Genomic DNA, 27,862 nt, shown 5'->3' with positions numbered 1-27,862 from the left:
TGTTGCTCATAGTTATTTTTTATTTGAAAGAAAATAAACTGATTAGAGATAAAGGGGATATCGTAGGCAAGGTAAGTAGTTGGATGAAATCACAGGAAGCATGAATAGTTGTGACCAATTGCAGAAGACTCAAGCTGATTCCATCTCAGGGACACACTCTACCATTCGGGAGATCCCCAACCCATTTGGGTAAAACTGCAAGAGAAAAAAATATTGTCAAGGGGCTTCGACAAAGGATGAAGAATGTGGATTTATTCTTCAGAATCTGAAGGAACTAACAAGTGTCAAATGTCAACTAAACTCAGGGGATTCGAAAGGAACATGGGATTGTTATTACGGGAAGATAAACAACCAATTTCTGTCCTTAAAGATTTTGGAAATATAGCCTTAGACGGAAGCCCAGGTAGGTTGGAACTTTAGAGAGAACTAGAAGAAAGTCAATACGTATGAGTTTTCCTATAATATGGCACAGAGATCCAGCCTTCTTCTGGTAAGAGAGAAAAGCCATTTTCTCACTCACAGTCTACTTTACAGATTATTGACAGAGTTCCAAGCACTGATTCAGACATGAAAAAGTATAAAGCAATATCTGAAGAAAATTTCTTAGGGACTTTGATTGTATGGGTGTAATTTGAATCCTTTTTCTTTCTGCCCGTGTGCTCAAAGGAAAGTTTCTCATTGTAACTCTCCATTTGTTTGAGTGCAATTTCCTTTTTCTTTCTGCCTGTGTGCTCAAAGGAAAGTTTCTCATTGCAACTCTTCCATTTCCTCATCTTTAAAATGTTTACTTCATAGAATGACTGTGATATTTAAATTATAATACATATGTAAATTTTATGACACAGTTCCTGGCATATGTTCCGATTGAATAAATGTTGTAATCAATACTATGTGAAAGTTAAAGGTCAAGAAAAAGTGAACCCAGAATAGGAGGAATGTACATTGATCCTCAGTGAATGTCCAAAACCCCAGAAATACCCTGAATGGCACTCAAAATAATCTGCCTCAAGAAAGATTGTAAAATCATTCATTGTTAAGCTATTTTCTATTTTGGGAAAATTCTCTAAAGGAAACAAAGATTTTACTTGATTACCTGATTTTTAAATTGCCTGATTTAAACACACACACACACACACACACACACACACACACACACTACCTGATTTAAAAAAATAATAATAATAAGCAGTTACCTAGCTTCATGGAGACACTTATTTTGGTCTTTCCAATGATGTTTCTACTAAGGAAGAGTTTTCCTTAATAAATGTCAATATTTCAAGATCCATTCAGGTAATATTGGTAACCTAGGAGTCAGGTAACCTCCTGACTCCTCTGATATTTATCTGTTGACTTGACTTAGAAACTACAAGGATTTAGAGAACAATGTAAAGAAGAGGTCTCCCTGACCTCAAAAATAGAGTCTCTGTGAGAATAGAGAACCCAAGGAATCAAGGAGCCACATAAAGGAAGCACACAGATGGAGGAGTCTTGCTACCTGGAATGTCTTTACGAGCAGTGGTAGAAGCAGCGGTGGTTGCAGTGGTAGGAGCAGCAGTGGTTGCAGTGGTTGCAGCAGCAGTGGTTTCAGCATCAGGGGCTTCATCATCAGCAGGACCAGCTGAAATTAGAAGGAAAAGCTCTAGGTGAGACTGACTCCTTCTGGAACAAAATTTATCCCACCCAGGGGTAGACATACATTCCTCATCCTGAATTCATCTCTGCAAATCTGTCATCAGTTCTGTCTTACCTTTAGCCTACCTGCCTACTTTCCTTGTGCTTCATCCTTCCCTGTCTTGTCTTTGCTGGGACAGAAAGAATTTGGGGTTTCCCTCCAAGGGCAATGACACTGATTAAAGAGACAAGCAAGTACTTTGTCCCAGGTATGAGCACAAAAGACCAAGGCCACGAGTGTTCCTATTCACAGGGACTACTGCTCAGAAGCAATAAGGAAATCTCTAGTAGCCTGACATTCTGAAGCCGTCCCACAGAATAACCTAAGACAGCATACATTCCAATGTAGCATGAATGAGGATGAGTAAAGGGATGAACTCTAGAGGGAAGGAGGAGGCAGACTAAGAAGACGTATCTCATCTTAGAGTCATATCTCCTGTCTTAGAGTGCAGTAAGATATCTTCTATCAGGTTCTAGAATGAAAAGAGCCATATTTGTCTCACCCTCTGTGGCAGCTTGGACTCTGTTTATTAGAGAGGTAATTGTGAGAGCCACATTAGATATAACAGGAGAAATTAATACACTTCTGATAGTAAAAAAATTCCCCATTAATTACTATATGTACAAAGGGGACTGGGTAAGAGTTTTGAAAATTATCTCTCTCTCTCTAGACCTTACACAAGAGCTATTGATAAGGATCAAGAGTCAGGCCCCACATTTGTGAGTTAGACTCACCTCAGCAAATAAGTAGCTCCACCTCCAAACCCACACTCTATCCATGCTGTCTCAGGCTTTATTTAAGAGAGAAAATATTTTTTAAATGGGGCCTCACATGGCAGGAAAAATATATGTGAGGTCTGACTAAAGCTAATGCCCTTGTGACCAAAGGATGCAAATTCCCAAGATGCGAAGGATAAAGACAGACCCCCTTAACTTGTGCATGGGCACAACACACACACAGTACAGAATGTGAAGAACACTTTGGGAGAAGCCCAAGAATGACTAAAGGCTTTGGTCTACCACCTTCGTTTTCAGGTTAGAGAAGGGAAACAAACATCAGCCTGGGAATAAGGAATATAGACCATTACAAAGAGTAAAGCTTAGAACTGACCCCTGCACTCCACATCCCACACACCACCCTCACTTGTGATCCAAATGGACTTATTTTCATATCACTTCAAATTCTGAGACCCACTGGTCTCTTTTTGACACTGGCTATATATTCAGTCCTTCCATTTATTAGAGGCATCTCTCAAAAATTCTCAGGCTACAACATCAGACCTCATGCTCTTGTGCCTTATGCTGGAAAACAATGAATAATAAGTCCACATTTGTATAAGTCTATGGCCTAGATTTCATATATTCTAAGAATGTATAAGAAATAAGCAGATTCACTATGTTTGTGGTGAATTTTAAAATCAGGAATATAGCTTTCACAGACTTTTGCTTAGGATTCCTTATAACAAAGACTATCCACATGGAAACTGGCTGTTTGACATGAGGCTGGAAGTGAAAAATGGTTATTGCTGGAAAGAGATGACATTCAAGTGCAGACTCACTAGCTGGATACGTGTCAGCTGGAGCAGCTGTTGTCGGATTCTCTGAAAGAGAAGAAGGAAAAATTAAGATGTTAGCTGAATACCAGTTTGGAGGATGGAGGTAAGAGAGAATATGGACAATATTCCAGACTTTACAATGGAAGACCCTCAGTCCTTGGTGTACCAGTTGAGGAAGAACAAGTGCACAGATAAGATAAAACCCATGAAAACCAATAAAAACCTAATATGTGGTCATTTTTCCTTTCCCGAAATAAACCTCTGATTACCTTCTTGAACATATTTTACTAACAGTAACAATAAACTTGGGTTCCAAGGTATTATTGAAGTAAGATCTGACTGAATTAAGAAGAGCCTAAGGATAACCATCTCCATCTTGAACGGTCAGTCAAAATGGTGATAGAACAAGTTAGGAGAGGTAAAAAAGCACATTCTAAGCAACCATAAGCCCACATCTTTAGAGGAGATATTTTATGTATATTCCCACAAAACTTATGTTCAGGTAAGAATCTTTACTTACGGGCAGAGACCAGAAAGATGGAAACTCCCAAGAGTACCAGGACTGCTAAGAACTTCATGGTGGTGACCTGAAGATCAGGGAGCACAGACAAAAATGCTTCAAAGCCTAAGAGAAGGCAAGGCGCTGACTTCAGGATTCCACATCCTGACAATATATATGCAGAGGGCACCAATCAGGAGCTGTCAACCAGAATCCAGGTTAGGTAATGCCAGGAAACGTTGGGACACAAACCACTGGAGAATCAACAACACAGCCAGGGGCCCTTTGGAAAGGTTGTGAATTCAAATCATTGGTTCTGGCTAAACAGGTTTCAATTCGAGTCTCTCATGTTAAATATGCTCCAGGCAACTTCTCTTCCAGGCATCCTCTTACATGTAGGGTATAGTGTCTCCATAATTACCAGCTCCTATGACAGGTTGGAGATGCCCCATAACCAGCCTTCCTGAAATCTGCAGTGCTCTTTTCATAGATTCTAGGAGTCATACACTTACAGAGTGCTTAGACCTCTGTCTCCCCCTAGGGGAATAATCAGGGTAGAGCAGCCTGATCCAAAGACCATCCGGTGTAACTCAGGCTGTGCATTCTTCGAGTCATGGCCTCCCTCCTGAACATGTAATTAGGTCATCTGACACTGGTGCAGAGTGAGTCCAACACTGAATGATCTAAAGAACGAACTATGACCTTACTGGATTTAGCAACCATTGTATAAAAATTCAAAATCAAGGAGTAAGTATACAGAATAAACTAACATTTGTTAATTCATGCATCCATTTAATCAATTTTTTCATTCAAAAAACATTCATTGAGCATTATTGTATGCCAGACACAATGCTAGATGTTAGAAAAATAACAGCGAACAAAGCACACAAAAATTTTATTTAATACATGGTTTTGCAGGAATTCATACACTAAAAAAGTAAAGAAAGAGAAAACACAATGTATTATGTGTGAGGTGATAAGGCCTAATAAAAAAAGAAGGCAGGAAAGAAGAAAGGAGAGTTTAGAGATGGAAAATGGGGAGCAATTTTATATAAGGTGACCAAAAAAGGCATTACTGAATAGGTGATATTTGAACAGACTCTTAAGGAGCTGAGGAATCAACAACGTGGTATATTTGGATAATGCAACGGAAAGGAAATGGTCAGTCTGAAGGAAAGCAATGGTGAGTGCATGTAGAATATGGTCATCCAGACTTCTCTGCAGTTGTTGAGTAGGGCCCAGCACTGCCCCAAGTTCCATCAATCTACTTGCCCTTTGTCATAATGGAGCCAAGCTGCTAAGTAAAGACAGCAAGGGAGGAAAACAATCCACATTTACAGCACAATCAAGTGCTGGACCCAACTGAGGCCTCAAAGAGGGGTGATGAACATTTGGAATACCCAGAATCATAGGGAATTCTCTACATTTTAAAGATTTCCCTTGCTTTAAAGTTCTTCTTCTTCATACAAAGTATGCCTTTTTGGGTCATACCCTCATTGGAAGGATCTCTGTAATCTGGAAGAGCACTGAACATCTATTTCTCCTTTTATTGGAGAGTCTGTCTGATAACAGCAACCAGTCTACTCCCCAAAACATGCTAAGAGGTCCCCATCAGGTGAATGAAGAAAGGCAGAGGAAATTCTTGAGGGAGTGGTCTTCAACCTCGGAAAGACAAGTCAGTGTCCTTGTCCTGGGTAAACTCATATCTTCCATGAGGCACAGAGTTGTCATAATATGGTGAGAGATTAGCATAAATAACGCTAAGAAAAAAACACATATTCTGAAGGAAAAGTGAAAGAGAAATATTTAAAAGAGATAAAGAAGGAAGGAAGACTTAAAAGACAGATACTATCTGATTATACCCCGTAGGGAATAAGCCCTACAGTCACCTTTGTAAGGCCTCCCAACAACACTGACACAAATTGAAGGGTCTTCTAGGAGACGGTTACTTATTGAGAGCCCACTGTGTCCCTCCACAGAGGCAGAGACCCACCACACAGACTTAAGACAATGACTGGCTTGCTAAGAAAAAAAGATTAAACATATGTATCAGTTAGGGTCCCCTTAAGAGATCAAAACTGCACAGTGGATTAAACAGGAAAAGTGTGATACAAAGAATTTCTAAAGTTTGATATATGAGTAGTTTTTCATCTTGAATGAATTTTTGTATAAGGTGTAAGGAAGGGATCCAGTTTCAGCTTTCTACATATGGCTAGCCAGATTTCCCAGCACCATTTATTAAATAGGGAATCCTTTCCCCATTGCTTGTTTTCGTCAGGTTTCTCAAAGATCAGATGGTTGTAGATGTGTGGCATTATTTCTGAGGGCTCTGTTCTGTTCCATTGGTCTATAACTCTGTTTTGGTACCAGTACCATGCTGTTTTGGTTATTGTAGCCTTGTAGTATAGTTTGAAGTCAGGTAGTGTGATGCCTCCAGCTTTGTTCTTTTGGCTTAGGATTGACTTGGCAATGTGGGCTCTTTTTTGCTTCCATATGAACTTTAAAGTAGTTTTTTCCAATTCTGTGAAGAAAGTCATTGGTAGCTTGATGGGGATGGCATTGAATCTATAAATTACCTTGGGCAGTATGGCCATTTTCACAATATTGATTCTTCCAACCCATGAGCATGGAATGTTCTTCCATTTGTTTGTATCCTCTTTTATTTCATTGAGCAGTGATTTGTAGTTCTCTTTGGAGAGGTCCTTCACATCCCTTGTAAGTTGGATTCCTAGGTATTTTATTCTCTTTGAAGCAATTGGGAATGGGAGTTCAGTCATGATTTGGCTCTCTGTCTGTTATTGGTGTATAAGAATGCTTGTGATTTTTGCACATTGATTTTTGTATCCTGAGACTTTGCTGAAGTTGCTTATCAGCTTAAGGAGATTTGGGGCTGAGACGATGGGGTTTTCTAGATATACAATCATGTCATCTGCAAACAAGGACAATTTGACTTCCTCTTTTCCTAATTGAATACCCTTTATTTCCTTCTCCTGCCTGATCGCCCTGGCCAGAACTTCCAACACTACGTTGAATAGGAGTGGTGAGAGAGGGCATCCCTGTCTTGTGCCAGTTTTCAAAGGGAATGCTTCCAGTTTTTGCCCATTCAGTATGATATTGGCTGTGGGTTTGTCGTAGATAGCTCTAATTATTTTGAGATACGTCCCATCAATACCTAATTTATTGAGAGTTTTTAGCACGAAGGGTTGTTGAATTTTGTCAAAGGCCTTTTCTGCATCTATTGAGATAATCATGTGGTTTTTGTCTTTGGTTCTGTTTATATGCTGGATTACGTGTATTGATTTGCATATGTTAACCAGCCTTGCATCCCAGAGATTAATTTAAGATGATTTAAAGACTTACATGTTAGACCTAAAACCATAAAAATCCTAGAAGAAAACCTAGGCAATACCATTCAGGACATAGGCATGGGCAAGGACTTCATGTCTAAAACACCAAAAGCAATGGCAACAAAACCAAAATTGACAAATGGGTTGTAATTAAACTAAAGAGCTTCTGCACAGCAAAAGAAACTACCATCAGAGTGAACAGGCAACCTACAGAATAGGAGAAAATTTTTGCAATCTCTCCATCTGACAAAGGGCTAATATCCAGAATCTACAATGAATTCAAACAAATTTACAAGAAAAAAACAAACAACCCCATCAACAAGTGGGTAAAGGATATGAACAGACACTTCTCAAAAGAAGACATTTATGCAGCCAAAAAACGCATGAAAAAATGCTCACCATCACTGGCCATCAGAGAAATGCAAATCAAAACCACAGTGAGATACCATCTCACACCAGTTAGAATGGCAATCATTAAAAAGTCAGGAAACAACAGGTACTGGAGAGGATGTGGAGAAATAGGAACACTTTTACACTGTTGTTGGGACTGTAAACTAGTTCAACCCTTGTGGAAGTCAGTGTGGCAATTCCTCAAGGATCTAGAACTAGAAATACCATTTGACCCAGCCATCCCATTACTGGGCATATACCCAAAGGATTATAAATCATGCTGCTAAAAAGACACATGCACACGTATGTTTATTGCAGCACTATTCACAATAGCAAAGACTTGGAACCAACCCAAATGTACAACAATGATAGACTGGATTAAGAAAATGTGGCACATATACACCATGGAATACTATGTAGCCATAAAAAATGATGAGTTCATGTCCTTTGTAGGGACATGGATGAAGCTGGAAACCATCATTCTCAGCCAACCATCGCAAGGACAAAAAACCAAACACCGTGTGTTCTCACTCATAGGTGGCAACTGAACAATGAGAACACGTGGACACAGGAAGGGGAACATCACACACCGGGGCCTGTGGTGGGGTGGGGGGAGGGGGGAGGGATAGCATTAGGAGATATACCTAATGTAAATGACGAGTTAATGGGTGCAGCACCCCAACATGGCACATGTATACATATGTAACAAACCTGCACGTTGTGCACATGTACCCAAAACTTAAAGTGTAATAATAAAAAAAAATGAGTAGTTATAAGGAAGTTCTATGAAACCCTAGGGTTGAGGGAGACTATCCAAGGAAGGACAACAATAAAGAGCCCTCCTCCCTGAAGCTGATATTCAGAACTCATTGGAGAAGCAGCCCTCTGGGTGGCAGAGAACAGTGCTGGTTTGCCCAAGCTGAAGCTGGTCTGCAGTTGCTGGGAAAGCAGACAATCTGCAACCAGTGGCCTGAGTGTGCAGAGGACATGAAGGCTCAGGGTGTAGGGGAGCCCCGTGGGGCCTACAACAGTTTTGAGGCTTTATTTTTCTGAAGTTATTGGATTTTGATAATATTATAATGCTTCAAATTGTAGGTTTTTAATATTATCACTTTAAGAGGGATCTAAAATTCAAGCATAAAGTATCATATGTGAGTATATAAAATATACTCAGATCTAACACCAAATTTGTTCATTAAAATGAACAGCATTATATATAGGGCATGTTATATTAAAATTAAACTGAGATCTTTCTAATATCTACATTTTGTAACATCTGTCAAATATTATGCAATATATTCTATATAAAATCATATATTGTATGTATAACCAAACTTTATCTCTCTATATATGTATACACTATATACTAGTGGATATGTAATTTTAAGAGTGAAATTCAATGGATGACATAGCTCCAAAACTTTTTACTACTGCTCTTTCCCATTACAAGATTATTTTTGTATTTTTTATAAAAATTAAAATAGAAGTATACATAAGAAAGTAAAAGTCTCTAGATGGGCCAAAACAATGAGATAACTGCCATTTTTACTTGGTAATTATATATTTGTGAAAATTTTATGCATATATGAACTTATATGTAGTTATTTATTCCTACTCCTTTATGGCTAATATTTCATACACTGCTATCATCAATACCAAAAAGCAAATGTTAAATAAATTTCCCCATATTCCTATTATAATAGGCAAATATATGTAGATGCAAGTGACCATATATTTGTGTTTGTACACAAATTCTTTTAAAATGCTGTACAAAATGGCCTTAAATTATAAACCATTCTTTCTTCTTTTTGCACTCAACACTACTTCTTAGAACTCTAACTCAGTCCCTATATATCTGTATCTTTCCTTTCAGTAGCTTGATTATATCATAATTTACTCTAGCATTACCTGCTTACAGGAATTCAGGTCATTTGTATTCTTTTGCTATTATCAAATCATGAAGCCACTGATATACTTTTTAATGTACCCTTATGTACAAAGTCTCTATTTGATAAATGTTCAGAGGTTTTTGACTCACAATATATGTATACACTTAATTTAATATGTATTACCAACAGCTTTCTCAAAGAGTTCTAAAAATTAAAATAACAAGAACAAATATCAGAGCATATTTTTATGACCATTTCTGCAAGTAGTAAAGGTTATCTCAGTTGAATTTTGCTGGACTGTTATGCCAGAAGCAATATTTGTTATGTTAACTTGCATTTCCCTGAATGCAGTAAGTTTGGGCTTACTGACAACTTGAATTTCCTCTTCCATGATTTACATATTCTAATCTTTTTATCTATTGCATTTCCTGTGTTTATCCCTTTAAGGATTCTGAGTATATACGAAATATTAACTTATTATCTTTTATAAAAATAAAAAAGTTTTCCAATCTAATACATTTTAATTTTATTCACAATATACGATTAGAGCTTTTAAATTAAGTGGAACTGCCGTTTTCATTATAATTTCTACATTAAACAATTTGAAAAACACACAGCTGGGTCATCTTATAACTGTGATAACTTAATATTCTTCCACACAAAAATCATATCTATTATTAATCCCCAAATTTACTCAAGGATCACAAACCTGCCCTAATCATTACTGCACACTCTAATGTAGAGCATATCACAAAGGGAGACAGGCTTTTAGAGAAAGCAGCACAGAAGCCCCAACCTGAAGAGAGGTCTTCAGGGAGCATCAGGAACTTGGTCCAAAACCAGACTCCTCACTCCTCACCATATACCACAGAGAAATTGGAAGAACCTGCAGCAGCTGTGGCCTGGGATCATCAAGGGCACACAGCTGAGTTTCAACAAACAAGAATTAACTAGACACAGACTAACGATGGGTTCAGATACTGCATTTATTAAAAAAAAAAAAAAAAAAGAATTGAGATGAAGGGAAGTCCTAGGATGATGGGAGATGAAACAGGATTTGCTGTTAGTACCAAAGGTAAGATCTCATCCTGTGATCATGCCAAGGGAGCTGGGGCATACACAGGGCTGTGCAGTGACTGTCTAGCATTAGAAATCTGAATGTGTGCCCCAAGCATGATCTATAGACACAGCATGTTTCTTCAATGCATGACCCGTAACTTCTGTCATACTTTATTGCCATTCAATCTCAAATTAAATACATCTTCAGGCCACCTTCGATGGCTTCCAAACTAAAGTAATCCCCAAAATTATCACTACCTCATTTGATTCTATTCTTATCATAATACCCATTATTGCCTGATATTTGCTTGTCTCTTTCTTTCTTTGCTTTTTGTGTTTTGTTTTGTTGTTTTGTTTTGTTGAAATGGAGTTTCACTCTTGATGCCCATGCTGGAGTGCAATGGCGTGATCTTGGCTCACTTCAACCTCTGCCTCCTGGGTTCAAGCAATTCTCCTGCCTTAGCCTCCCAAGTAGCTGGGATTACAGGCATGCACCGCCATGACAGGCTAATTTTGTATCTTTAGTAGAGACGGAGTTTCACCATGTTGGTCAGGCTGGTCTTGAACTCCTGACCTCAGACGATCCACCTGCCTCATCCTCCCAAAGTGCTGGGATTACAGGCGTGAGCCACTGTGCCCGGCCTTTCTTTGCTCTTTGCTTGTCAGTTTTCTGCCTCCCTCTCAGTAAATGAACTCTAAGAGACAGAGAGAAAAATAGGTTCATTGCTCAACACTATTTCACAATACTTAGAAGAGTGCCCGGCACTCGGTTACTTCTTGATACATGAGAGTTAACTAGAGGAAAAGAAAGAAGGAAGGAAGGAAGGCAGACAGGCTGAAAGAAGCAAGACAAATTCATATGATAAGCATGAGATGAAAATGGATGGCTTTTCATAAAGTATTGAGGAGGGAGCGTAGGTCTATGAAAAGGACTAAGCAGGATGTGGATGACATCTTGGAAGGCAGAACCTCAGGCTGTGAAAGGGTAGGCAGGCAGGAAAACCATAAACAGAATTAACTAAATAAAACTCAAATAGTGTTTAGGTACAGGAATGTTTTATTGCCTGGAAGATCCTATAGTCCCAGAAATCTGGAAATAAACAGTTACACAGGAAAAACAGCATACACCTAAAGCTGAAAGTACAAGTTACCCACACAAGTGAGCATAGTCATTATTCAGTTACCCTAATAAACCTCACAGGCACTTCCTATGATGAAAAGCAAGGGAAGTTCTTTCCAGAGCTCTGTGTGTCCTGATTCATTATTTTACCACCAGGAAAGATCTTTCCTAAACACAAATTCTCTCTACCACTGGCTCTTTGTAGTTAAGTAAAAGAACTTCCAGTCTTTCTCCTACTTCTCATTGTTTCCCCAGTCATGGCTCATCCCACTCACTGCTATATACTCATTTCCTATCATTGCCCTATCTTTTTCCCACTAATGTTGAAGGGCTGCCCCAAGCTGGAAACCTGGGAACAAACCACAAAATACTCTCCCATGAAGTGAAACAATCAGAAGAATGATATTTTCAACTATTATTGAAATGGGAGGGTTCCCTGATCCCCTTCGCAGGTCATGCCACAGGGATGTGGCTCGCTCCTTCAGTTGCCCCAGTAGTCAGACCCCTAGGAGGAACATGCAGACGGGCAGGTGCAGAGGCCATGGGGAGCACTTTTGGGATCTAGCCCCATGGCAGCATCTAGGGATGGGTGTCTGTGACTCCTGAAGCCCAAGAGGGTGTGTGTTACAGTGTGCTTTTTCAGTTTTGCCATCTGCAGACGGCTTGTGTTAACCAGCTCAATGGACCCTCCGCCTATGGCAAGCATAGAGGGCCAGTGTGACCATTTTCTGTATCTCAAGTTCTCGCCCAGTGTACCGGAAAAACTGGATCACATATGGGCTCGAAGGACAAGTGCAAGGTTTTACTGAGTGGTGAATTTGTCAATGTCTTAAAACATAAAAAAAGCTACAAGTTTTTTTTGCAGAATAAAGGAAACAAAAGAGATGAGGCAATTAAATGCAGTATATGATCTTGAACCTGATTGTGTACTGGAGAAAAACAGTTTTATAAGGAAACTCACTGGATCAAAAATAACATCAGAAACACTTTTAGAGGAGAAAGAACACATTGCACCCATGTTAAATTTACTAAAATTGAAAACTGTACTGTAGGTATGTAAGAAAATTTTGGCTAAAACATACACTAAATATTTAGCAGTACAGAAATTATAACAGCAGAACCAGTCCAGTCCAGTTCACTTTGTCAGTAACAAAATGTAACCAAATCATGAGTTGTTTTTGGGTGCAGTGGCCCTCAAGTTGCAGGTCACATAACCTGAGCATGCCCAGATGAACCAAGTGTACCCTACTGGTAACCCCAGAGTCAGCTGGAACAAAAAAGTCAACCACAAGCAGAATCTAAGTACTTGGTTTGAGAATGGGGACCAAATTATGAAGTGAAGGGTGCCTTGTTTTGTTGCAGAACAGACTTAAGAGACAGGAAACCGTCGCCACCTCTTTGCATTAACCAATCAGATCACATCTTGTTGCATTTTCCTATCTCTCTCATTGTTATTCTCTGCCTGTAAAACCTGCCCCAAGACCACAGCTCGGGGAGACAAATTTGAGTGTTACCTCCTGTCTCCTTGCCAGTCAACTCACTATAAAGGCCCTCCTTTTCTCAAAAGCTGGTGCTATAGCATTGACTGCTATATGCATTGGGCAGAGAGCTCATTGCTCAGTAACAAAGTATACCCAATGAAAGTATCTAAGAAGATGAACCATCTCCATTGTGTTAACTACCTTGAGGCCATCATACTGAGGTAGTTCAAGCTGCAAAGAAAGGCCATGTGTGGGCATTCTGGCCGACAGTCCCAGCTGAGCTCAACCTTAATGTCATCTGAGACCAAGTGCAAGAAATATGTCTGAAGGATCCTCCAAATGATTTCTACCTCCAGCCATTTAATTAGTCCCCAAGTGTGCCTCATACATAGTCAAGAAGAGATAAGACATTCCTTCAGTGCCTTACCCAGCTTCTTCACCCACAGTGTCTGTGAGTCTATTAAAATAGTTTTTGTGTAGTGTCATGATATTTTGCAGTGGTTTTTTTCTGCAGAAATAAGTGATCAAAATAAAATTTGGCATCAAAATTGGGATGCTGTAATAACAAAAACATAAAACATGTAGCTTTGGCTTTGGACAAATTGCAAGAAAGAAGATGTAAAAGATATGTGGAGAAAATAGTCCAACACCTGACAAGACTAAAGCTTGTTGTTGAGGGCTTAAAGGAAATTGAGTAAGATGTTATTAACGGCTGGGAGAAATTGGCAAAACTCTTGCCTAAAGAAAGGTAAGACATAAAAATATACCTAATGAACTGCTAGATCTAGTTAAGGAGATTTCCTGACAAAATGTCAAAAGTGTCATCAGTTTCTCTTTTAGGTGCACATCACAAGTTAGAGAGAGATGAGATTTATAAAGATGTTGTGCTAAAGTCTCAGAAATTCAGTGTCACCTTTCAGCCAGATCCTTAGGCTGTCTTAGGATTTTATAAATGTGTGTCATGGTTCATCCCTGTTAAGCATGAAGCTCCTAGGAATCATAAGGGCATTGTTCCTCAGCAACCTCTTAGGGCATCAAAAAAAATCTATCTAACAGAAACCTTAATTTGCATTACCATAGATCTATTAAATAAATTAAATTCATAATACATTATCCCCCAATAAAAAAAATCTGGGGCCCCAGGTAGCTTCATCAAGACTTTCTACCTAAAATTTGAAAAGGAAAAAACATTCATCTTATCAAAATGCTTCCCAAATGTTGAAAAAATGATGGAAGACTTCTAATATAATTTGATGACACCAGTATATCCTTGATGCCAAAGCCTCAAAAATATAAGAAAGAAAATTTACAAAACATTCATTACCATGACCATAAAAGCAAAATTTATAAACAATAAATTACCAAATCTAGTGATAAACAAAAAGGTTAAGACATTACCTAATTCAATTTATTTCAAGAATGCAAGATAGGATCAATATTTGAAAATCAATGAATGTCAGTGTATTACTTTCGTATTTCTGCATAACAAATTACCACCAACTTAGTGCCTTCAAAAAACATAAATGTATTATCTTACAGTTCTGGAGTCAGTCCAGAAGTCTGAAATGGGTCTCACTAGGCCAAAATCAAGGGTTGCATTCTTTCTGAAGTCTCTATAGAAGAATCCATTTTCTTTCCTTCTACAGTTTCTGGAGGCTGCTCACATTACTTGCCTTGTGGGCCCTTTCTAAGCTCAGAGGCAGCAATGATTATTTGAGTTTGTCTCATTCTGTATGACACTGACCCTGACTTTCCTGTCTCCCTCTTCCACATTTAAAAGACCCTTGCGATTACACTGTGCCTACCTGAATAATCCAGGATAACTTGCTCATTATATGTTCAGCTAATTAACAACTTTAACTTCATCTGCGACCTTAATCACACCTTTCCATACCATCTAACATAAATGCAGGTTTCAGGCATTAAAATGTGGACCATCTTTGGGGCCCCAATATTCTGTCTTTCAAAGTTAGTCATCTAATTAACAGAATTTTTAAAAATCATAGGATTATCTTAACTGATGCAGAAAAACATTTGATAAAATTCAATACCCATTCATTATTTTAAAGCTCTTACAAAAATATAAATAGAAAAGTATTGTCTTAATTAACAGCAAACATCATACCAAAGACTGAAGCATCAAAAGCATTCTCCTGGGACAACAATAGATACCATTTACAGTCCTGCATCATTTAATGATGGGAATACATCCTGAGAAATACATCATTAGGTGATTAGGTGATTTCATCATTGCACAAACATCCCAGGGTGTACTTACACAAACGTAGATGTTATAACCTAGTACATACCTAAGCTATATAGTATAGCCTATTGCTCCTAGGCTGCAAACCTGTACAGCATGTTTCTACACTGAATACTGTAAGTTATTGTAACACAGCGGGAATATTTATGTGTCTAAACGTATCTAAACATAGAAAAGATACAGTAAAAACATGGTATTATAATCTTATGGGGCCACCATCCTGTATGTAATCTGTTGCTGACCAAAGCACTGTTGCATGGTGCATGACTGTATATTGATAATGTGCTAGAGATTCAAACAGGGCAATCAGGCAGGAAGTAGAAAAAAAGAAAAGATGAATAGAAAGAAATTATGAAAAGATAATTACTTATAGTTGAAGCAATTGTATTCATAGAACGTCTAAAACAATCTACAGAAAAACAATGAGAATTTAAAATCAACTATAAGATGTTGGTCAAAAGATACAAAGTTTCAGTTAGACAGGAAGAATAAGTTCAAGGATCTACTGTACAAAATGGTGACTATAACAATGTACGTATTTGTGTATTTATGGCAACATGGATGAACCAGGCACAGAAAGGCCTGAGAGTATATTTTAAGGGTTCTCATTACAAAAAAAGATAAGTATGTGAGGTAATGCATATGCTAATTAACTTGATTTAGCAATCCCCCAGTATAAATTTCAAAACATGTTGTACATGATAAACATAAACAATTTTTGTCAATTAAAAATGAATAAATTTTAAAAATAAAAATAAAATTAACTGTAGCCATTTTCTATCTACAAGGTCAATATACAAAACTAAATTGTATTTATATATATATATATGCAGCAAACAACTAGAATTTTTAACGATGTAATTTATAGAAACAGCAATGTAACCAAGTAAATAGTAATAAATACAGATGTTCAAAGCATCTCTGCAGGAACTATCCAAAATAAATGGAGGGATAAAATACAAATGAACAGGAAAACTCAATATTATAAAGATGTTGTTCTCTCCAAAGTAATTTATAGATTGAAGGCAATTGCATAAATTGTAGGGAATTTGTTTTTGGAAACTAATTAGTTGATTCTTTTCTATATTAAAATTCAAAGCCACATAGAGTCAAGATAATCTTGAAGAAAAATTACAGAAATTGCTCTAATACTTGTATAGAATTATTAAGGCCTGTAACTGTAAAACTCCAAGAAGAAAACATAAGAGAATGCCTCCTGAATGTTGATTATGGTGATAATTTTTTGGGTATGATACCAAAAGCACAGGCAACAAAAGCAAAAATAAATGGGACTACATCAAACCAAAAAGCTTCTGCACAGCAAAGGAAACAATCGACAAAATGAAATGAAACTTAAGGACTTGTAAATCAGATATCTGATAAAGGGTTAATATTCAAAATCAACAACTAAAAATACTAATAGTAAGCTAATTACAAAGTAGACAAAGAATCTGAATAGACATTTTCCCAAAGAACACATACACATAGCCAACAAGGATTTGAAAAGGTGTTCAACATCATTCATTTCAGAAAAATGCAAATCAAAACCACAATGTGATATCACCTCCCACCTAGTGGAATGGCTATTATTGAAAAGACAAAGTACGGCAGGGTTGGTGAGGATGTGGAGGAAAAGGAACATTTGTATACTGTTTGTAGGAGTGAAAATTGGTACAACCATTATGGAAAACTGTATGGAGGTTTCTCAAAAACTTAAAAAAAATAACTACCATATGACCCAGCAATACATCTATGTATATACTCAAAGGAAATCAGCATCTTATAGAGATATCTGTGCCCCTTCATGTGTTGATTGCAGCATCGTTCTACAACAGCCATGACATGAAAAACAATCTAAGTGTCGGTTAATAAATGAATAAAGAAATTCTGAGACAGATAGATAACTACATATACATGTATGTATTATTTAGGCTAAAAGAAGAAGGAAGCCCTTCCATTTTATGGCAACATGGATGAACCTGGAGGACATTATGCTTAGTGAAATAAACCAGGCACAGAAAGACAAATATTACATGATCTCACTTACATGTAGAAGCTTAAAAATAATTGAACTCATAGAGGCAGAGAGTAGAATGGTGGATACCAGGGACACAGGAGTGAGAGAAAAGGGGAGCTACTGGTCAAATTATACAGTTTCATCCCTGGGGAGGGTTTATGGCATGGGGCAGTTTTGAGTTCTGAGCACAGACTACCTGGAAGCTTGCTAGCTGCTACTAGTGGAATACTGCAGGTATGAGGCCTGCTTTGCCAAATGCGTGGGAGCTGGGTGGGGTTTACTGCCACCTGCTACTCCCCACTCCCCATGTGGATTCTTTTGTGTGGCAGAGGCAGCTGTGCTCCTCCCTGGAACATTATGCCAGCAGCCAGAGAACTGCCCTCCAATCCCCACTGGAGTCACTGCTTATACCCACATATGGATAGCCAGAGTGTGGGACTTGCCTGACCCAGCCATAACCTGGCTTTTCCCCTCCACCTGCCCTGGTAGCTTAATGCAAAGGACAGAAACTTGCGGAAACTTTATGACCCCGCTCATTGCCTGAGGCACTAGAGTACCTCCCTTGGGTAATATAAGGAAAACACCAATCCCACTGCTACCACCACAGCTGAGCTCTTTTGCAAGTGCCACCTCCTGGCTAGAGGCCAACTGACACAGTCCATTACAGCATCTGCAGGCAGAATAATACAGCATTCTGGAAGGAAACTTATTCATATCATCAGCTATTACCATTGTCTGCATCACTCTGGCTGAGCAGGAGGTCCTGAGTCTGTGCACATGACCAGTTTATTACTACTGCAGCTGGTATTTGAGAAAGCCAACACACTAAGGCTATCTATAACCAAGGAATTTCACAGACTCTACATCACTCTTGTGCCATCGCCATCAGAACTGGTCCTGGTACCTGCTTCTGGGAGACTTGAGGACATATCACATCACTGGATTCCTTGCAGACATTCCTTAGCACCAGCCTGGAGTGTGGCTACCCCACTGGGCAGCAAGAGCCAGAGGAGCAGTAGCATTCACAGTAGTCTGACCCTCAGGGACTCTTACTTCCAGGGGCAGGGGGAATTCACATCAAGGGAATACCAGGTGGGACAAAAGAATCCAGACAGCAGGCCTTGAGTCCCAGAACTTTCTGCTTGTGAAAAGCGACTCTAAGCAAAGGCACAGGTGCAGTGCAGGGCTTAGCACAGAAAGTCTGCAGCTCCGCCACAACAGTCAGGCAGCCCTGGTGCTCAAGGAGTGTTTGCCCACCACAGGTGACACAGTTGGAACTTCTCCTATGGGAGATGAGCATGGGTGCACCTGTACACAGCCTTTCTGGAACACTTCAGGGTGACTACATCCCCACACAAGGAGTGCCCTCCAGGTTCAGGCTTCCACAAGGAGTAGTCACAATCCCTTTCTACATGGAACATCAGCATTCCTGAAGAAGAAAAGAGGTACCTGTCTGATCTAAATAGCTGAAACACTGGTCAGCAGTGTGACTGGGAGGCAAATCATTTTCCTGCGACTTGACAGGAGGATGAGGTTGCTCCCTCCCTACCCCAATGAAAAGACCTCAGTGCATTTCACTGAGACCTCCCCCAGCTGCCTCTGTCAAGGCTGGGATCTCTGTCCACAATTGGATGTCGCATTTACCCACCTGCTTTAGTCACTGCCAGTTGATACCCATGGTCACCTCCCATACTGGCCAGAAGCCTGAACTGTTCAATCCAGTAAATAAAATACTGAGGGAGAAAATTAATAAATAAATAAGTGTGTGCCACTGGAGAATGAGATAAGCTTCAAGACACCCCCACCATTCCAATCCCACCTGCTCACACACCAAGCATATTGTACTACAACCAGTAGCTGAGTAAGCCACTATACAAAGACTCTCTATAACCAAGGAATTCCTACAGAGTCTTCATATTTGAAAGCACCCAGAGCCAAATTAAGTTCTAATAAACTATAATGATAAGGTCACATCCTCAATGAGAAAAAAATTTAAGAAAACATACTAAAATTAAAAATAAATTTAAAAATAATTAGGAGAAATAGTCTACCCAAGTGAGAAGGAACTAGAAAAATAATTCTGGCAATATGACAAAACAGTGTTCTATAACCCATCCAGAAGATCACATTACCTCTCCAGCAATGAATCCAAACCAATATGAAATCTTTGAGATGCCAGATAAAGAATTCAAAATGTTGATTATGAAGCCACTCAAGGAGTTACAAGAGAAAGGTGAAACCCAACATAAAGAAATTTAAAAAACAATTCAGGATAATAATGAAAAATTTTCTAAAGAGATAGATATCTTAAAGAAAAACGAATCAGAACTTCTGGAAATGAAAGACACATTTAGGGAATTACAAAGTGCAATGGAAAGTTTTAACAATAGACTAGACCAAGAAGAATTTTGGAACTCAAAGACAAGCCTTTTGAATTAACTCAATCAGAAAAAATAAAGAAAAAAAATAAAAGAAATGAACAAGAGCTCCAAGAAATATGGGATTATGTAAAACAGCCAAACCTAAGAATCATTTGTGCTCCTGAGGGAGAAGAAAAAGCAAAAAGTTTCAAAAACTTATTTGAGAGAATAATTGAGGAAAGCTTCCCTGGCCTTGCTAAAGATTTAGACACACAAATATAAGAAGCTCAAAGAACACCTGTGGGATTCATGACAAAAAGACATTACCAAGACATATAGTCATCAGGCCATCTAAAGTCAATGTGAAGGAAGATATTCTAAGAGCAGTGAGACAAAAGCATCAGATAACCCATAAAGGAAAACATATCAAACTAACAGCAGACTTCTCAGCAGAATCCTTACAAACCAGAAAGGATTAGGGTCCTATCTCTAGCCTCCTTAAATGATATAACTGTTAGCAAAGAATTCTGTATCAAGCAAAACTAAGTTTTATAAATGGAGAGAAATAGTCTTTTTCAGACAAGCAAATGCTGAGGGAGTTTGTCACTACCAGACCAGTCCTACAAGAAATGCTAAAAGGAGTTCCCAATCCTGAAACAAAAGATGGATATGCACCAGAATAGAACCACTTGAAGCATAAAACTCACAGAGCCTATAAAACAATAATGCAATGAAGATAGCAAAGTATCAAGGTAACAATCAATATGATGACTGAAACTACTACTTCATGTCTCAATGTTAAATATGTATATGAATGTAACTGAATGTAAATGGTCTAAATGCTCCACTTAAAAGATACAAATTGGCAGAACGTATTAAAAAATCACAAACCAAATATCTTCTGTTTTCAAGAGATTCACCTAAAATATAAGCATTGATTTTTTTTGTTTTTGTTTTTGTTTTTTTGGAGACGGAGTCTCACTCTGTCACCCAGGCTGGAGTGCAGTGGCATGATCTCAGCTCACTGCAAGCTCCGCCTCCTGGGTTCACGCCATTCTCCTGCCTCAGCCTCCCGAGTAGCTGGGACTACGGGCACCCACCACCACGCCCGGCTAATTTTTTGTATTTTTTTTTAGTAGAGACAGGTTTTCTCCATGTTAGTCAGGATGGTCTCAATCTCCTGACCTTGTGGTCTGCCTGCCTTGGCCTCCCAAAGTACTGGGATTACAGGCATGAGCCACCACACCCAGCCCATAAGGATTCTTATAGACTTGAGGTAAAGGGGTGGAAAACGATATTCCACACAAATGGAAACCAAAAGCAAGCAGGAGTAGCTATTCTTATATCAGATAAAACAGGTTTTAAAGCAACAACAGTAAAAACATAAAAACCCAAAAAAAGTCATTATATAATGGGAAAAGGATCAATCCAACAAGAAAACATTACAATCCTCAATATATTGCACCTAACTCTGGAGCTCCTAGATTCATAAAACAATTACTACTAAACCTAATAAAAGAAATAGACAGCAGCACAATAGTAGTTGGGGACTTCAACTCTCTACTGACAGCACTAGATAGACCATTGAGGCAGAAAGTCAACAAAGAAACACTGGACTTAAACTGCACTCTAGAAAAAATTGACCTGACAAATATTTACAGAACATTCTACTCAAGAACTGCAGAATATACATTCTTCTCCTCAGTGCATGAAATATTCTCCAAGATAGACCATATAATAAGAGATAAAACAAGTCAATATATTTTAAAAAATTGAAATTATATCAAGTGTTTTCTCAGACCACAGTGGAATTAAACTAAAAATAAACTCCAAAAAGAACCCTCAAAACTATACAAATACATGGAAATTAAATAATTTGCTCCTGAATGATTTTGAGGTTAACAATGAAATCAAGATGAAAATTCAAAAATTCTTCAAAATGAATGATAATAGTTGCACAAGTTATCAAAACCTCTGGCATATAGCAAAAGCAGTGCTAAGAGGAAAGTTTACAATTCTAAATGCCTACATTAAAAAGTTCAAAAGATCACAAGTTGACAACCTAACATCACACTGCAAGAAACTAAAGAAACAAAGACAAACCAAACCCAAAACTAGCAGAAGAAAAGAAATAATAAAGATCAGAACAGAACTGAATGAAATTGAAACAAATACAAAAAAGATCAATGAAACAAAAAGTTGTTTCTTTGACAAGATAAACACAATTGGAAAACCATTAGCTAGATTAACCAAGAAAAGAGAGAAGATTCAAATAAGCTCAGACATGAAAATTGAGACATTACAACCAATAACACAGAAATACAAAAGATAATTCAAGATTACTATAACACCTCTATGTACACAACTAGAAAATCTAGAGGAAATGAATAAATTTCTAGAAACATACAACCCTCCTAATTTGAATCAGGAAGAAATAGAAATCCTGAACAAACCAATAACAAACAAGCAATTAGACTGAATTAGTAATTTAAAAGTTGCCAGCAACAACTACAAAAAAGCCCACAGCCAGGTAGATTCACAGCCAAAGTCTACCAGACCTTCAAAGAAAAATTGACAGCAATCTTACTGAAACTATTCCAAAAGGTTGAGAAAGAGGCAATCCTCCCTAACTCATTCTGTGAAACCAGTATGCCCTGATACCAAAGCATGAAGAGGACATAACAACAAAAAAAGAAAACTACAGACCAATATTCCTGATGAACACAGATGCAAAAGTCCTCAACAAAATAATAGCAACCCAAATCCAACAGCTCGTCAAAAAGATAATTCATCATGATCAAGCGGGTTTCATCCCAGGGATGCAGGGATGGTTCCACATATGCAAATTAATAAATGTGGCAGAATTTATAAATAGGCAGAATTTAAAACAAAAATCACATGATCATCTCAACGGACACAGAAAAAGCATTCAATCAAATCCATTGCCCCTTTATGGTAGAAACCCTCAACAAACTAGACATAGAAAGAACATACTTCAAAATAATAAAAGCCATATATGACAAATCCACAGTCAGCATCATACTGAACGGGGAAAAGTTGAAAGCATTCCCACGAAGACCTGGAACAAGACAAGGAGCTCAAACAAATCAGCCAGAAAAAAAAAAAAAACAATCCCATCAAAAAGTGGACACGTGACACGAATAGACACTTCTCAAAAGAAGATATACAAATGGCCAATAAATATATGAAAAAAATACTCAACATTGCTAATCATCAGGGAAATGCAAATTAAAACTACAATGAGACACCATCTTAACCCAGCCAAAATGGCCATTATTAAAAAGTCAAAAAAACAGTAGATGTTGGTGTAGAGGTGGTGAAAAGGGGATGCTTACACACTGCTGATGGGAATGTAAATTAGTACAACCTCTATGGAAAACAGTATGGAGAGTTCTCAAAGAACAAAAAGTAGATCTACTGTTTGATCCAGCAATCCCACTACTGGCTATCTACCTAAAGGAAAATAAGTCATTATATCAAAAAGACACATACGTGTATATGTTTATCATAGCAGAATTCAACATTGCAAAAATATGGAGCCAATATAAGTGCCCATCAACGAATGAGTGAATAAAGAAAAGGTGGTATATGTACACCATGGAATACTACTCAGCCATAAAAGAGAATGAAATAGTGTTTTTTGCAGCAACTAGCAACTTGGATGGAGCTGGAAGCCATTATTCTAAGTGAAGTAACTCAGGAATGGAAAACAAAATACCGTATGTTCTCACTTATAACTGGAAGCTAAACTATCTGTATGCAAAGGCATACAGAGTGGCATAATGGATATTGGAAACTCAGAATGGAGGAGAGTGGAAGGAAGGTGAGGAATAAAAACCTACATATTGGATACAATGTACACTGCTCGGGTGACAGGTGCACTAAAATCTCAGACTTCTCCACTCTACAATTCATCCATATAACCAAAAACCACTTTTACCCCCAAAATTATTGAAATAAAAAATATATATATTTATTTTTAGTATATAAAATTTCAATCATGTAGGATGAATAAATTCTAGAGATACACAGTTAGTTCATTATGATTAATGATACTGTATTCTATACTTAAAATTTGCTAAGAGAGTGGATTTTAAGTATTCTCACCACAAAAAATAGTAACTATGTAAAGAGAATGTTATGCTAATTAGTTGGATTGTGGTAACAACTTCACTGTGTATATCAAAACATTACATTGTTTACCTTAAATATACAAAACTTTAAAGATAAATTTTAAAAATAAAATACAATAAAATTGCACCAGTGAAAGAGTATGGCTTGTGATGAGGATTTACAATTAGACGATGAAAAGAAGAGAGAGACCAGAAGGTAATTCACAAATATACAGTGACTGATTGAATTTTAAAATAAAGTGAAGAAAAGGTAGTTTAAAAATGCTGATAGGTAAATTCAAGATTCATATAAAAGGCAAAAAATACTCAACTTCACTCAATACACTAAAATAAATTCCAAATAGTTTATTATGTAGAGAATATATCTAAATAATAAGTGTAACAGTAAACCTTCTAAAAGAGAATATAGAAAAATAAGTTCATGAAGTTCACGCAAATATGTCTTATATAGAACAAAATCAAAGCACTAACCCTGAAGAGATAGGTTAATGAATTAAACTACAATGAATATAAAAGCTCTTACATCCAAATCACTATTCAAGCCACGCATTCAGAGGGTATAGTTATAATGCATGTAATTAACAAACGACTGTTAAGTAGACTTTTTTTTATTATACTTTAAGTTTTAGGGTACATGTGCACAATGTGCGGGTTTGTTACATATGTATACATGTGCCATGTTGGTGTGCTGCACCCATTAACTCATCATTTAGCATTAGGTATATTTCCTAATGCTATCCCTCCCCCCTCCCCCAACCCCACAACAGTCCCCAGAGTGTGATGTTCCCCTTCCTGTGTTCATGTGTTCTCATTGTTCAATTCCCCTCTATGAGTGAGAACATGCGGTGTTTGGTTTTTTGTCCTTGCAATAGTTTGCTGAGAATGATGGTTTCCAGCTTCATCCATGTCCCTATAAAGGACATGAACTCATCATTTTTTATGGCTGCATAGTATTCCATGGTGTATAAATTCCTTAGAAAAAGATAATCCAATATAACCATTGGGGAAAAGTTTTGAATAAGACTTCAGAAAAGGGGATATCTTTATGACCAATAAATTTATGAAAATGTGCTCTAATTTGTTTGACATAAGGAAAAAAATTAAAACAATTAGATAGCACTAGGCATCATCAGATGGGTTGAAATTTTATGAACTGAAAATACCAAGTATTGGAAAGGTGTATATAACTGTAAAGATATGTGGATCTCATCTATACAAAAAACTAGAAAATATTATTGAAACTAAATAAAAGGAAAAATAAACTGAGAAATAAAACATTTGCATAGATTAGAAAATTCCAGTTCTCCTCATATAATTCTATATATTCGATGCAAAACTCAACAAAATTTCAAAAGGTTGGATGTGTGTGTGTAGGTAAATATGAATGCATGCACAACAGAATATGCTTTATTAAAACATACATAAAAAGCCAAGGAAAAAGGACCTAGAATGGACAGGACAGCTCTAAGGAAAGTCAAATGAGCAACTCTTACTCTTCTAGATATCAAAAATTAATATAAAGTTACAGTAACGAATAGTGCTGTACTGGTACAGGAATTTAAAAAGAAAAACATAATATAAATCCAGGTTAAAGATCTGATGATAATTCATTTAATAAGGAAGCTTGGTTATTTTGTGACATACAAAGTTTAAAATAATAACTCAAATTATAGCTGATCACTTTATACCAGGACATACAAAATTTCTAGAAATTTTATATGATTTCTTGAAAATAGCATTTTACCTATACAAATGTAACCTAGGGAAGGTTAAGCATCACTTCTTATTTGACACATTTCCATTCAGCTTAACATATCAAATAATATAAATTATTTTTACCAGATTCCTTTGCAAAATGAAAGAAAAATTCTCTTGGGTATTTTCCAGGGGCCGTCTGTGATGTCTCAGTCAGTTTTAGGTCAAAAAGACCTCATAAAGCATCCGATTGTTAGAGATTGTCAAAAATGTCAAAAGGTTTAAATAGACGAGTAAGTAGGATCACAGGCCACCATGAAACAACAGTTATCCGTTTAACCAAAGTGACAATAAAAGATTTTAAAGGCAAATACAGAAGCTTACATAGTTGTAAACAAAACCCTTAGCTCTTTTAATATTGTGAAGACTCTTAAGTAATCAAAGACATGATAAAGACAACATAAAACAGAGGAAATTATTCAGAAAAGACACAAAACATTGGTTTCCCAGGCAGATTATGCAAAAGTTAAAGAAAAGCCTTTCACAATCTCTTATTAAGAGCAAACCAATAATCCCCCCACCCAAAATTTGTCTTTTTAACAGAAAGAAAGCCATATTCTAGCTTTGCATTAGTGTACTTTTGATGTTAAGGCTCATATTTTTAAATGTGTAAACAAAGGAATTCAAATCTTAGCCAGCTTGACTACACATAAATTTCATTTTCCACAAGCCTTCTGCAACTTCCTATATCCTTTAGTTTTTGCTCTATATTTTTCTTATTCCTCATTCTGGAACAACTAGTCATCTAACTTTAGGATAAAATTACTCTCTTTTTCCCTTAACAAAAACACATCCTTCATACTCGTATATTTCCTATCAAAGATATATCCTATTTTCCCTGAAAACTTTTGATGAAGAATTGTTTTCCTAATTATTTTCACATATTAATTGTAATGTTTAACCATTAGTAAGGTTTCTTTTATAGAGAAAATTAGGAGGTAGATAATTGTGAAATGTCTTTGTTACATGGCAGCATTCTGTAGCAAGCTTGCAAAAGTGATGAATATACCATTTCACAATTTTAGAGGCATATGCTTCCTCATAGTATAATTTTTCAATGTGACAAAAATTAACAGACTCAAATATATTTAGTCTCTTTATACTGTATAAAAGCAAGATGCCAAAAATATATAAACTTAAACTTATGCTCAGTAATTGTTTCAGTATTTTATCTTATTTGGAAATAATCTAGATATTCAATGAATATGCATCATTTAACTTAGTATAACTTAAGGTTTCAAGTTACCAAAAAGAAACTATTTTTCAGGTAGACTTATTGTAACATTAAGCAAAGTTAGTCATCATCTCAAGTTATTTCCCCCTTAACTATTTTAACCTTATATGACTATTAAACCCAAGTAGAATATAAATGTATGTTTCTATTATACTTAATGCTGATTACCCAGAACACAGCTGTTTTTACTAAACTAACAATATTAAACTAATCTTATTTACCAAAAACTTACCCAAGTCACATGAACTTGAAAGACATTTGAGTTTCTAAATTTCTGTGAGTTTTAGGAATATTTAATTTATATAAGCACTCATTTATCTCTAAGTCAATTTGCATAGAATTCCTCTAAGAAATTGCATAAATTAATTTGATAATACCATTTGGGAGTAGAAAAATATCACATAAACATAACATACATGCATATACACATACAGAAATATACAGACTGTAGAGATCTTAGTGCTTTCATTTTCAAAGTTTAGCCATAAGTTAGTAATACAAAACTCTCTGGTTTATATAAAATAATTGCCTCTCACCTTTCTTCTACTTTATATTTTTATCCAAATCACGTTTCTGGCAAATAGGACAAATTAAGGATATCTGTTCACCAACATTTGTAGCAGACATTTTTAAGACTTTCTTTGTCATCTTAGGGAAGTTGTGGGCTAAAATTTTGGTGAATTATTATGAAGCTGTTTGTGTGTATCCAACACTCACCTGAGTGTACAAAACATCCAGTCTGTTTCCAAAGTTTTTTTTCTGTTTTCAGCCTCTAATCATTGCTTTTGGGGATCCCTCAGGGATCCCTCAGTCTCTTAAGGAGAGCCCCCAATGGAGGCCAAGGGGTCTATAGTTCAAGTGACTGTTGGGAGCTGAGAGGTTGAAGTGGGAAATGAAAAGCCTGGCAGAATGAACAGAGGGATGAAGGTGGTAGAGTTAAAAGGGGGATATATCAAAGGCTTCAAGGTCGCTGAAGGGAAGATCAAAAGTGGTTAAAGAACAAAGGAGGAATGGGAAGGGAGAGGCCTTACAGAAGCCAGTTTGGGGAGATCATAAGTTTCCCAAAG

The 27,862-nt window shown here is 37.1% G+C and overlaps 1 protein-coding gene across 2 annotated transcripts, besides 1 other annotated feature; it reads right to left on the bottom strand.

Annotated features, from left to right (window-relative positions):
* On the bottom strand, positions 1 to 27,707 carry MUCL1 (mucin like 1). Of its 2 annotated transcripts, XM_047428272.1 has the most exons (5): positions 27,513 to 27,707; positions 3,748 to 3,926; positions 3,231 to 3,272; positions 1,496 to 1,618; positions 1 to 195 (listed from the first exon to the last, which is right to left on the bottom strand). In XM_047428272.1, the coding sequence occupies exons 2-5, from the start codon at positions 3,803 to 3,805 to the stop codon at positions 146 to 148; spliced, it is 273 nt and encodes a 90-aa protein (XP_047284228.1). In that variant the 5' UTR covers positions 3,806 to 3,926; positions 27,513 to 27,707; the 3' UTR covers positions 1 to 145. The 2 variants fall into 2 exon arrangements, with proteins under 2 accessions (XP_047284228.1, NP_477521.1); NM_058173.3 differs by lacking the exon at positions 27,513 to 27,707 and having other exon boundaries at positions 3,748 to 3,872.
* Positions 5,504 to 5,673: an enhancer, noted in NCBI's record as "experimental_29528 CRE fragment used in MPRA reporter constructs". NCBI's record gives its function as "activates a minimal promoter by MPRAs in K562 erythroleukemia cells, with activity observed for both the introgressed and non-introgressed 12:55246584 variant alleles {active_cell/tissue: K562}" and the evidence as "EXISTENCE:reporter gene assay evidence [ECO:0000049][PMID:34662402]".
* Positions 27,708 to 27,862: the final 155 nt, after the last annotated feature.

The sequence above is a fragment of the Homo sapiens genome, chromosome 12, assembly GCF_000001405.40.
Source record: "Homo sapiens chromosome 12, GRCh38.p14 Primary Assembly".
NCBI lineage: Eukaryota > Metazoa > Chordata > Mammalia > Primates > Hominidae > Homo > Homo sapiens.
This window is presented reverse-complemented; position numbering and strand designations above follow the sequence as displayed.

Bases quoted from the DNA above. Each gene is read 5' to 3' on its own strand.
- MUCL1 (XM_047428272.1), bottom strand. From the start codon at position 3,805: ATGAAGTTCTTAGCAGTCCTGGTACTCTTGGGAGTTTCCATCTTTCTG. The intron at 3,273-3,747 runs GTAAGTAAAGAT...CTTCTCTTTCAG, and splicing joins CATCTTTCTGGTCTCTGCCC to AGAATCCGACAACAGCTGCT. The intron at 1,619-3,230 runs GTGAGTCTGCAC...TTCTAATTTCAG, and splicing joins AGCTGACACGTATCCAGCTA to CTGGTCCTGCTGATGATGAA.